Source organism: Homo sapiens, chromosome 1 (genome assembly GCF_000001405.40).
Source record: "Homo sapiens chromosome 1, GRCh38.p14 Primary Assembly".
NCBI classification, from domain to species: Eukaryota; Metazoa; Chordata; class Mammalia; order Primates; family Hominidae; genus Homo; species Homo sapiens.
The window spans coordinates 217,056,648-217,069,042 of NC_000001.11; the positions used below are offsets into that span (position 1 = coordinate 217,056,648).

General features: G+C 37.6%; 1 protein-coding gene across 37 annotated transcripts in view; it reads right to left on the reverse strand.

Annotated features, from left to right (window-relative positions):
* Positions 1–12,395, reverse strand: part of ESRRG (estrogen related receptor gamma) — a 634,457-nt gene that overhangs the window by 553,402 nt on the left and 68,660 nt on the right. The gene's annotated exons all lie outside the window — the stretch shown is intronic.

Genomic DNA, 12,395 nt, shown 5'->3' on the forward strand with positions numbered 1-12,395 from the left:
AATTCTGGAAAGATTCTGGCCATGACGGCAGCATAGTTTTTCAATCCTTTGACTACTACACAAATAGAGCAACTAGATAACAAAACCCCAAATCCCTGACAACATTTAAAACTAAACTAGGAGACAAAGTTTCCTCTTGAACCCCAAAATACCAGTTAATGGGGCAAACCACCAACTGCCAGAAATTCTGCATGGAATCAGCACCTGGGTGGGAAGAAGAAGGAAACATTGGGTATCGATGGACCTGAGAACAAGAGAACCCAGAAGAGCTAATAGTACTCACTGGAGAGTTCAATGGGCCACTGTGAAACAACAGCTCTCACTGGGAGGGGTTTTATCCTCTTTACCATCTGAGTACAAGGGGCACATGGGAAGGAGGACTGAGGGAGATGGAGCAGTTTACTCCCCATGAAGTGTGCAGCCACTTGGCACCCTTCCAGCGTAAGCCCCCACCAGTGAGAAACTACTGAGAGTGGCTTCACATTTGAGCCATATGGAACAAGAGTCTAAAGAAAGAGAAAGTCTTGACCAAAGTGGTTGAGGAGAAAACAGCCGGGGAATCTCAGGAAGCATCTACCATATCTACCATATTTTTAAAATGCTACACACACATGAAAAGGAAGTTCTGTGACGTTAGTGAGATTTCCTGAATCATACCTCATTCTAAAATGTCAGAAAAAATTAAGTTCACATAAAAATGAACAATGGAATAGTATCAAGGTCAAGGTCAAATCCCATAGAAAGTGATTATAATTACAAAATAGAATAAGGAGCAGAATAGCATCTTATAAAAGCATGCTGAAAGCTGTTACCTATAATTTCAAAAGAAACTTAAAGACATTAAGAAATGATACAAACTACCAAAGAACATGACCATCTGATTAGAAAAGCTCATAAATAGGGAGACAGGACTGAAAAAAATGATTATAAATAAAAGAAAAACTCACTTCAGAAATGTCAACTAAACTAGAAAAAAATAAACAGAACAGATAATCTAATAATAAATATAAAAGGTGAAAAGGAGGAAAACTGAAAACTCTGAAAGCAATAAAGAGATAAAAAGGATTTAAGACAAGCTTGTCCAACTCACAGCCTGTGGGCTGCATGTGGCCCAGAATGACTTTGAATGTGGCCCAACACAAATTGATAAACTTTCTGAAAACACTATGAGATTTTGTTTGTTTTTAGCTCCATCGGCTATCATTAGTGTTAGTGTATTTTATGTGTGGCCCAAGATAAATCTTCTTCCAACGTGGCCCAGGGAAGCCAAAAGATTGGACACCACTGAATTAAGAGAAAAAATAATAATGAACATAGGCAAAGAAAATTGAACATATGGATAACCAGAGATTATAAGTAAGAAAAGCGAGGGAAGAGAAGAAATACTAATAACTATAATTCAAGAAAATGTCCTGAAGTACAAAAAAATTGAAATGATATTGAAAAGCTGTGCCACATATCTGAAAATACTGACCCAAAAAAGACCAATAGCAAGACATATTCTAGTAAACTCTCTGAGTTTCTGAGCAAAAAGAATACATGGCTTATAGTATAAAGAAAATTAAACTATCATCAGACTTTCTAACGCAAACGCTTTAGGCTAGAAGAAAATAGAGTAGCCTGCTTAATATGCTAGAAAAAAGAAAGGGGTTTTATATCCAGCAAAACTGACTTGCAAGTATGAAGGACTCAAACAAATTGTTATGAATATGGACAAGAACTTAGAGAATATTGTTTCCATAAGTCCTTTCTGAGTAGCATATTTGAGAATGAGCTTCCGATGATCAAAATAATTAGAGAGAACATCAGCATAAGGACTGGCAGTGAATATTAAGTATATAGTTACTTGTGGACTTAAGTTTAAAGGGGACTAACAGAGAGCAGAGTATCTGACGTCTCTATGCTCTGACAATGTAAATAGAGCACAACTATTTAAAAATGAAGGAAGGTGGGACAACCATATGCAAAAAATTGTTGTAATGTTTTCAATAACCACATTAGTACTAGTATTAGTATTGTCCTCCTGAGATTACTGTGCATATAATATGTGATAAAACAATGATTACTATTAGAATATTATTATTCTATTATTCCCTGTGTCCTTGAGGGTCCAGATATTTTGGGAAGGAAGGCGATCTAACTGTAATGCAGAAGAGGCTAAATAAAACTCGGTAAATTTGAATTGGAGTACTAATAAGAACTCATAAGTTCATAAAACATAATACAATAAACTATAGATATTATAATGTAAATATAGAATAAACTATATAAAATATAAGATAATATAAACTAATAAAAACTATAAGTAAAATATAAAACTATAAAATAATAAAAATTATAAGCTATAAAATAATAAAAATATATGAATAAACAAAATAAATTATAGCATATTATAGAATAACTATAGTATACTATATAATAATATACTATATATCCACAGGGATCAAACCTGAGTGTGATCCAGTCCCAGATGCCAATTTACAAGAAATGCAGGGGACAGAGGAACATATTAAACTGCACTGTGAGCCTGAACTCAGGCTCAGGTGAACTATACTAGTTACTACATTACTATTATATAATAATTATGATATACTATATAATAACCATGGTTATTATATAATAAAGTAAGCTATAGTGTAACTATAGTATATAACTACATATAGTTTATTAGTTTACATAGTTTTTATAAGTCTCCCCAATTCTACCCTTTACAAATGTTAAGAAACAATGACCAACCCAGTACCAACGCGCATCCCTAGCATCTAGATTGTAGTCTTCAAATAATATTTCTTACCCAAAGAAAGCAGAGCTTCTTGGAGAAACTGCTGATTTCAGGTCTAGGAGAGGAAATTTATAGATATGCCTGAAGAGTCTTAAATTGCTCCATGGCAGGAGAGCTATCAAAGGCTTTTAAGGCTATGACAAAAGGACTCAAGAACCAACTTGCTGTTGCCCCTGCTGGCTAACGTGGAACTGTTTGAACTTCAATAATGATTGTAGTCTTTCCAACCACCACCTATAGTCTTGCCAAAGGGATCAAACCTGAGTCCAGTCCCAGGTACCAATTTGCAGGAAATACAGGGGGCAGAGGGACATATCAAACTGCACTGTGAGTACATAATATATACAACTCAGGCTCAGAAGAACTATACAGGTCAAATGGCTCTGGACCCTCAATAGATAAATTGTAAGGAAATAAAAGGAATTAAGGAGGAACTTAATGATTAAAAGAGGATTCAAGGGCTTGTCATTTTTTAAATGGGAAAGACTAGACTAGAGTGTTTGAGGATGCACACTGGGTGACAAATGTATTTTTTAAAAATACAAAGAAATTATTATTACAGTAGTATCATGATTACTTATGAAGAATACAAAGGATTATAATTGGGTAAAGCACATGAAGGGGTTTTGGGGGTGGCAAAAATTCTATCTCTTGTCCTGGCCGGCATACAATACGTATATAATATGCATATATATGTATATACTTATGCAACATTAATACAATATATAAACATACAATATACTAGCCATGCATTGTATTCATGTGGATTTCTCTATTTGTGTTTTAATTACAAAAATATATATATTTTTAAAAGACTATGAGTTTCTCACTGCCATCCAATCTCCTACTGAGAAGACAGTATAAAGCACATGGTTGAAGTGGAAAATAATGTTAGCAAATCATGATTGAAGTCATATTGTGAAGGTTCACAAATATCTTTGCAAAGTTATATTTAATTTGGAAGATAATGTAGACTCTCTTAAAAGATTTCATGAGTCCAGCAACTCCCCCTTTCCTCTGAACTTCTTGATGTCTCCACCATTTACTTGATTCTCCTATTTGGATAATTAAGATGAGAGAGCCAAAGAAATATGATGCAAAATAAACCCTTGCTATACAAGTAGTGTCAGGCAGGTGAAGAGTGATGGGTTGGTGCCACGTTCCTGGATTCAGCCACCTTAACCCTGTTTATTGTGATTTAATAGAAATCCACTCACTGTGCCATGCATATAAAATGAAGTTTATCCTAAGATTTTTGCCTTTTCAAGCATCTAAATTCCTCAGTTTCTCAGAGAATAGGCCAGGACCCAGAAGAAAAAAGTCAACTTTGAGTAATAAAATCAAAATGATATTGAACACTAGATAGATAGATAGATAGATAGATAGATAGATAGATAGATAGAAAAAAGGGAATAAATGCCTCTGAGAATTCCTAGTGCCTGAAAGCTCAAAACAAATGTACAGGAATCTTCTTGAGATTGTGGAGAAGATATTCCTTAGAAATAACTACTTTATATCCATTATTCTATTTTGAAATATATCAAACTTTCATGGGTAGTCTTTTTTTTTTAGTATGTTAAATATTTTTAGTGACCACAAAATATAATCATAAGGGATCTTATGGATTTGTGCTTTTTTCCCCCCAAAAAAAGTCTTAAGTTCTTCCATTCCAAATTATCTATCCAGGGGGATTTTCAGGAGTTAACAATGTGTAAAATGTTCCTTGTTCAAGACAAAGACAAAAATGAAGCTTTTTAAATTGCCCTTGTCACAGTTAGGATAAAACAACCTCCCTATCACCAGAGCATGATTCAACCCCCTATTACCGAAGCATTACCTTCCCAATTCCTTTAGAAAGAGGTGGAGTTTGAAATCGCAAATAGATAACAAAATTTAAGCCCCCAAAGAGAGAGAGAATATGTATCAAAATAGCTAAATGCATGTAAATAAGTACTAAATTTAACAGGCATGAGTAATGCAAACCTCACAGGAGCCATCTTGCCTAGGACTGCTTTCACGCTTCCAATTCAAAGGATATAAATGAGCTCCCCCCACACTTAAATATGGAATAAAAAGACAGTTGCACCGGACTATAGAAGAGGTAAGCCCAAATTCACAGAGGTTTTATTAAAAACAGGAAAAGGTCAGTCCTCTTCCCCCAAAGGAATGTCCAGGGCTTGTAGGAATTATTACTCCAAGATAGTTTCTTTATTAAATTTGCTGTGCAGAAATAGAAAAACAAGGCCAGGGGAGAACTAGAAAGACACAGAATGTCTTACTTTTGTCCAGCCTAAGCACTGCCACAATCTAAATTTAATGCCAAGATACCTCCTCTTCACTGTATCTATAAATCAGATACATGTAAAAACCTAGAGTAAATCCTTAATGAACTAAGAAATTATGCAATTAAACAATCCACTAATGATAAATATGTCATCTATGTGCTTTCCTCAAAATAAAACAAATAAGATAAATTCAGAGTATTGTCCCAGATATAACATCTGCAAAAAACCTCCCTGCTCACCAATGACATGAAACAGCCATCTACATTTTAACCTATGTTTGCTTCTAGTTAAAATCAAGCATTCGTTAATGAATTAGTTTGAGTGAATTTATAGATTGAGGGCAGCCCAGCACTGCCTTGTTTAGCAAACATTTTTCAACATGGGCAGTCACAGGGAAATCTCAAGCCCAAGTTAAGTGCCAACTTAAAATGGATTCCCGAGACACCCCTGGCGTGTGAATTAATTCTATTTGTATTAATATTTGGAATGTCACGCAGGATGCCGCAGCTGGTTTTGCATGACACTCTGGCACTCTCTCCACAGCATTTTTATCATTAAAATGACCATGTTTTAAAAGCAATGACATACCGTGTGAGAGACTTTATAAGAGTGAGAAGGATGAAAAGCTGGAAATTTCTCTATTGGCCTCTGCCTATTAAACACCCTACCTTTACAACAGCAGGACACATTTTGGTGTCAAAGAACAGGGCACTGTATTCAATTTCGGTGCAGTGAGGGGTTTGAGTAATCCTGTCTCTTTACATTTGAGATCACAGCACTTCTAGAAAAGTCAACAGAATCAGCTGCTCCAAAATAATGTCCACAAGTCAGGCATACTCACACAAAAATACTCCTTGTGAGGAGGTAAGAAATTAAAATAACATCTGGCAGAGAAAAATCTGTTCTCAAGAGCTAAAACCAAAGAGGAGTGTCAGAGCTTGAGGTCTTCTCTTTGGAAAGCCTCTGCAACCAGCACTACTGGTTTTGTGGCAACAAGACAGAGCCAGTTTAGATCAGTGAAAACTAGGTACAAACGAATACCTCCCTTCAGTCTACAGTTTCAAATGTTTCTTAACATCAAACACTTTTACGGCTTGGAAATGAAAACATCACCTGGTTTGGGTTGTATTTCTTTCCCTTCCAGGATTCTGGTGAAGATGGCAATAAAACTAATATGGCTACAGAGAGCAGGAAGAATCATGAAAACAAGGATAAGGTGCACGCTACTTCATCAGCTCTTAATCAAGAAGGAACTCTAGTATGTACCTATGTGACCAGCTGTTTTCTATCTCCGTTGAGATTTAACAGCAGGATCCATTCTAGGAGAATATCTGATCTGGGACTTCGGGGTTTTATATATTGTTACCCTTCCCCTCCTCCTCCTCCTCCCTATTTAATGGGTTCTAGAAAAAGCATAGGAGATTGCAGTTTCAGCAGACAGGGAAAAGAGGGCTGATATGCTTTACATAGTTATTTTTATATTTAATCCAAGAGCAAGAGAGGACTAAGCAACCCAGCTGACTCTAAAAAGCATTTTAGGAAGTTGGCAACCGAACAAGCCACCTCCTGCTATCTCCTACTGTGAAGTAACTGTATCCAGGGTATAGATATGTTCCTCAAAGATATCAATAGCACAGATAATTAAGTTAGTGCAGCAAACTAGCTACATGCTTTGAAGTGTGGAGACAGTTGGTACGCTAACCTTTCCCTCACCTGATAGGCTAAGCCTACAATCTCCTCACACGTGTTAACAATCTCGTGACCTTTAGTCTGTCCTCATTATCACATCAGTTAGGTTACCCAACCACGTGGGGCCTACCATAAAAAAGGGCTGCTTATAAACTGGGATAGTGAGTTAACAGGCTCAAAGACAGACTCCACCTGGGTAGGAAGACCCTCCAACTAGAGAAGCTAAAACTCTCTAGATTAAGCTATCCTGAGGCAGAAGAGAAAGAGCACCACAGGGTGGGAAGAGGGACCAGCTGACCCAGACATTATCAAACTCTGGAATACATCAGAATCATAAGAGGTGTTTCTAAGTATACCAGTTACTGGATGCAACCCTCTAGAGAGTCTTACTCAAAGCATTGGGGTAGAGACATAAAATCTGCGTTTTAATGAGTATAATGGTGATTCAAACTTTGTGGTTCTCAGACTACACTTCTTGGAAAGGTAAGGACTGAAGCAAGTTTCTCAGGACTCCAGTAGTATGCACCTATTATCCAGAAACTACTAAACCCTGTGGTGCTTTATATATTTTATGTCATTTAATCTTCACCATATAAACACACACAATAAATAGGTGTGTGTATATATACACAATAAATAGATATATACACACCCTATATACATATATATTTGTAAAATACACAAAGCACAAGGGTTTAGTATATGTGTGTGTTTTTCATTAATCTTCACAACATACATATATATGTTGCATGTATATATACACGTTGTATAGATGTATGTATATAGGTATATATTGTATGTGTATATATGTTGTATGTACATTACACACATATGTGTTATGTGTATATATACATATATGTATGTATATATGTATGTTGTGAAGATTAAATGATATGTATATATGTGCGTATATATAAGTACATATATGTATGTTGTGAAGAGTAAATGATGAAAAATATACACACACATATATATAATTTGATTCATTTTATAACCACAGAAACTGAGGCTGAATGATGCTAAGTAACTTGATCCACAGTCACATGCTAATAAGCGGCAAAGCCATGTGCAGAACCCAGATGTGCCCCTACCAAATGGACCCACAGAGCACCATGGAGAGAAGTCTCAAAGAAGCTGCAGTCCTTCCTGATGTGTTTTAATTCACCTGCTTTTCAGGCCTTCCCTCCACAGAAGACAAGAGTGAATGAGGCCAGGAGATTGAGAAAAGCGTGCAGCTAACAGGTACAAAATATCAGAAGTTGTCCAAAATACAGGCATTCCTTACCAAGTGTATTACAACTTGCACTAATAAATTTCAAGTAGATATCAGCCCTTAGGCACAGAGAAGCCCGCTATGAGTAAATGAAATATGGCTGTCCTCTGAATCAGAAGGGGATAAAGGACATGTGAAATGGGTCTCTTTCTATTCCACTCTCTACCCTACCCTGGTTATGCTAGACCCTGAATAAACTCCCTAAACCTCAATATATCCTGACTGGGTTTTACTCTGGGCTTTTAATGAGGAAGGAGTAGGGACAAAAAGAAGAAGAAAAAGAAATTATAGTCCCTCCTATAATGCCCCAAAACAAATGTGAGAATGCCACATTTTCCTGACTCAAGTACCAGGCTTGGGGACTCTATAGCTCCTTGACGGGAAGCCCTGTTATATTAAGAAAAAGGCAGAGGTGTTTCAACTGCTACTAGAAAGATAAATAGCCTAGGATATCCATTAATGCCCCATAAATTCTGCTGCTCAGAATGCTGATATATTTCTAGTGATTTGTGATGTTTTCCTTTCCAGCTTTTGATGGCAACTTAGGTTTCATACAATAGACTGGTTTGGCAAAGGTAAAATGTCTAGCTATGACAAACTTAATTCCCTAGACTCAAAACCCTCAGCAGGTGTGAAAACAGCAAATCTAGTTAACTTCCCAATTCCCATAGAAATCTCCACTGGGAATATGACTTTCGATGTGGCATTTCTAGGGGAAATTCTGTTGTTAAAGGTGTTCTTGGAGAATCTCCCATGAGGCTTGCTTAGAGAAATTTTACCCATTTCTCTTTCAAACATGAGGTTTCAGTGGATCTGACCCACTCTGATGATGAAATCTAAAAGGAGAGCCTCATCTCTCTTCTGAAAATGCTGGGAAGGAGGCTTAGAGAACAGTCAACTAAAAGGTGACAGCCACAGGTGGGAGTGACCACTTCATATTTACAAGACTGAGCCACACTGGATACTGTCTGCCATTTACACACAACCTGAAGACCAGTTCAGTCCCATATGGTTTTTGGAGAGGAAAAGACAGACATGCATGGGATCAGCTGCAGAACTGGCAAAGAGAGAGTTACACAATAGTTTTCTTTTTCTCCCTCTAGAAGCAAATATAAACCTACTTTATGATGGCAGTCCTCGTTTCCCAGAGAAGCACTTTTGCAATAATAACACCATAGAATAAAAGCTTGAGCGACCAGGGGCATTTAGAAAAATAAAGCCTTCCCGCTTCCAAGTATTGTGTTGTCATTGCCCTGTTCCTTACATTTTCTATCAGGAGCTCACCATATTCCTACATACTCCAAGACCGAAGTGCACAGTCATTGTCCCTCCCCAGTGGCGTTGCTTTGAGGAATAGCTGAATTATCATGTGGACAGTCACTCTGAACAGTGTCTGGTACATTTAGTAAGCTCTCTATAAGTCGTGGCTATCGCTACTGTTGTGCTGGTGTTGTTAAATGTGGCTCAATTAGCCACAACATACATATTACATGCCAAATATTTTTAAAGCAAATATGTGGCTTGTTTGTAGTTTTCATCTGTATTCTATATCCCATGGGGAGAATTCCTTTTTCTTTTCTTTTTTTTTTTTTTTTTGAGACGGAGTCTCGCTCTGTCGCCCAGGCTGGAGTGCAGTGGCGCGATCTCGGCTCACTTCAAGCTCCGCCTCCCGGGTTCACGCCATTCTCCTGCCTCAGCCTCCCGAGTAGCTGGGACTACAGGTGCCCACTAATTTTTTGTATTTTTAGTAGAGACGGGATTTCACCGTGTTAGCCAGGATGGTCTCGATCTCCTGACCTCGTGATCCACCTGCCTCGGCCTCCCAGAGTGCTGGGATTACAGGCGTTAGCCACTGAGCCTGGCCTCCCATGGGGAGAATTCTAATCATGAAAGCAGCCATTTAAAAAGGATGAAAATATTTAAGCTACCTACTTTCTCTCTTACCTTTTAAACTTTGTAAGTGTCTAGAGCAGGGCTTCTCGGCCTAGGCACTGTTGACATTTGGGGCTGGACAATTCTTTGCTGTGTGGGGGGATGCCCTGTGGACTGCATGATGTTTACCAGCATCCCTGGGCTCTATTCACTAGATGCCAGTGGCACCCTCTTCCAGTCTTAATAATCCCAAATCTCTCCAGACATTGCCAAAATGTCTTTGGGGGACAAAATTGCCCCTAACTGAGAACCACTAGTCTGAGCCATTTTGAAATAGATGAATGAACTACAGACGTAAGTTCTCTAAAATGTGCCTCGAATGTGAGATGGTATGCTCTCACCAAGGATTTCACTTACACCACAAATAGCATTTTACTAGAAGTAAACTGAAACCCATTGCCTAACAGGAACAGTGAGATGCTTGGCACTAACAAGTTACGGTGAGCAAAATAGTCTAAACTTGTTCACATATGCAAACTCAACATTTAATTTTCTGCAAGATTACCCACAATAATTACAAAGTTTCTATACTATAGCCTTAAAAGCTTGGAACTATGAGATCCATAAGAATTGATCCTTTATCTTTTACCTTTACTGTGTACTGTGTCTGTGCAACATAGCAAATGAATGTAGGCAATATTTTCTTCTAATTTCTAGGAGTACTAAAGTGAAACTTTCCTAAAATTAAATTGATTATTAAATAATCCAATGGAGGGAAATACAGAGTCAACTCGAATGTACAAACAACACTAAGGTAAACCAAAGACCATTTTGCTTATAAGCATGTATCCTTCAACTGAACATAGATAGCTGTTGCACATATGATAACTAATAGCTTGACACTCTAAAAGTAATGTTGAAATATTAGTTGCTGCCAGTTAATGATGGTTTGAGGACAAACAGTTGACATCTATATGACACCAGTTTGTTCAGTCTGCCAGTAACATACAGTATTTTTGAGGCATTAGTAATAGATTGAATAAACTATCTACCTGGAATCTATGGTCAAATGCTGGCTAATGCCATATCAACTTGAAGATTTCAGAGCCATTATCATAAGACATAATTCCTTTGTCATAGTCTTAGAATTAACCCAGGCCAAGAAATCCAAGCTAATACACAGAGCTGTATTAGGATCTTACTTAACTGATATTAATAGAGTTCATGTGAGAGAAGACACACATTCATTTTTTCACCTTCTGATAACCACATGACTAATAAAGTCTCATTTCAAAGGGGAAAAAAAACCCCACAACACTGACACCCACATTTTGGCAAAGTATCAAGCCAATTCCCCTAAGGGTATTAGTCGCTTTGATGAAAGAATGTTGCACCATCTCCACACACACTAGATCTCATTTGGTTGTTCCTTCTCTTTCTAAGATGATGTTACTGACAGGGATTACTCTCTTATTACATGGTAAAGTGGGTAGGACTGCAGACAAACACGGGACCTAAGTTTGCAAGTACAAGGTCATTTCTCTCTGCATAGAGCTACCTCAATTCCATCTTCTGAGGAGCAGAGATTGCAATTTCCATGCTACCACGTGATCTCACAATGACAGGAAAGCCTGAGGACCCAGGAGGAAAAATAAGTGATATGCATCCTATGTGAGCCTTCAGGAGCCGCTGTGCCCTTCCCTGTCTCCTTTCTTTAATTCTTCAATTGAGGACCAAGTCAGAATCCTTGCACCATCTGGTAGCCATGGATACCACACTCAATACACAATATGATCTTAGGAGTCTTTTTTTTTTTTTTAACATCTCCAGGGGCGTTTAATCCCCTTCCTAACTTTCTTCATACTTAATCTCCAGTCCTCTCCTGCACCAACCCTCTTCCAAGACTGGAATCTCTAAGAGGTGAAATCAACCTAGATCTAGATGTCAGAAAACCAATCTCTAGTCTTCGGCTATATTTTTTTAACAAGCCGTGTCACTCTGAACAAGCCACATAATCTTGCTAAGTTCACTCAGCTGTAAAAGACAGGTAAGTTGTGACTTCATAAACTTTCACTACAAAAATATCATGTATTATTAGAAGAAATACATCGAGAAAAACAGTAGAAGGGAGTCGTTTTGCATGTTATTTAGTGGAAACGATAAGAAAACTATCATCTAATCAACAAGCACAATTACTCTCAAGCAGTTTTACTCAGAGCTGGTCACATGACCTTCTGAAGAAAAAGGTAAAAAGCAATCACTTTTTCCGCCTTCCAATCATTCTTCTCCCTTCTAGCATTAAAATACTCCAATCCCTAACTTTAATCCTTCCCCTCCACGTCCAGCATTTAAAAAGAATAATTGGGCAGTTCCCAGTATTTTCCCAAGAAGTACCTTAGGGCCTTTGACTAGTGGTCTAACTTCAGAGATTACACCTATGATGGTTAATACTGAGTGTCAACTTGATTGGATTCAAGGATGCAAAGTATTTATC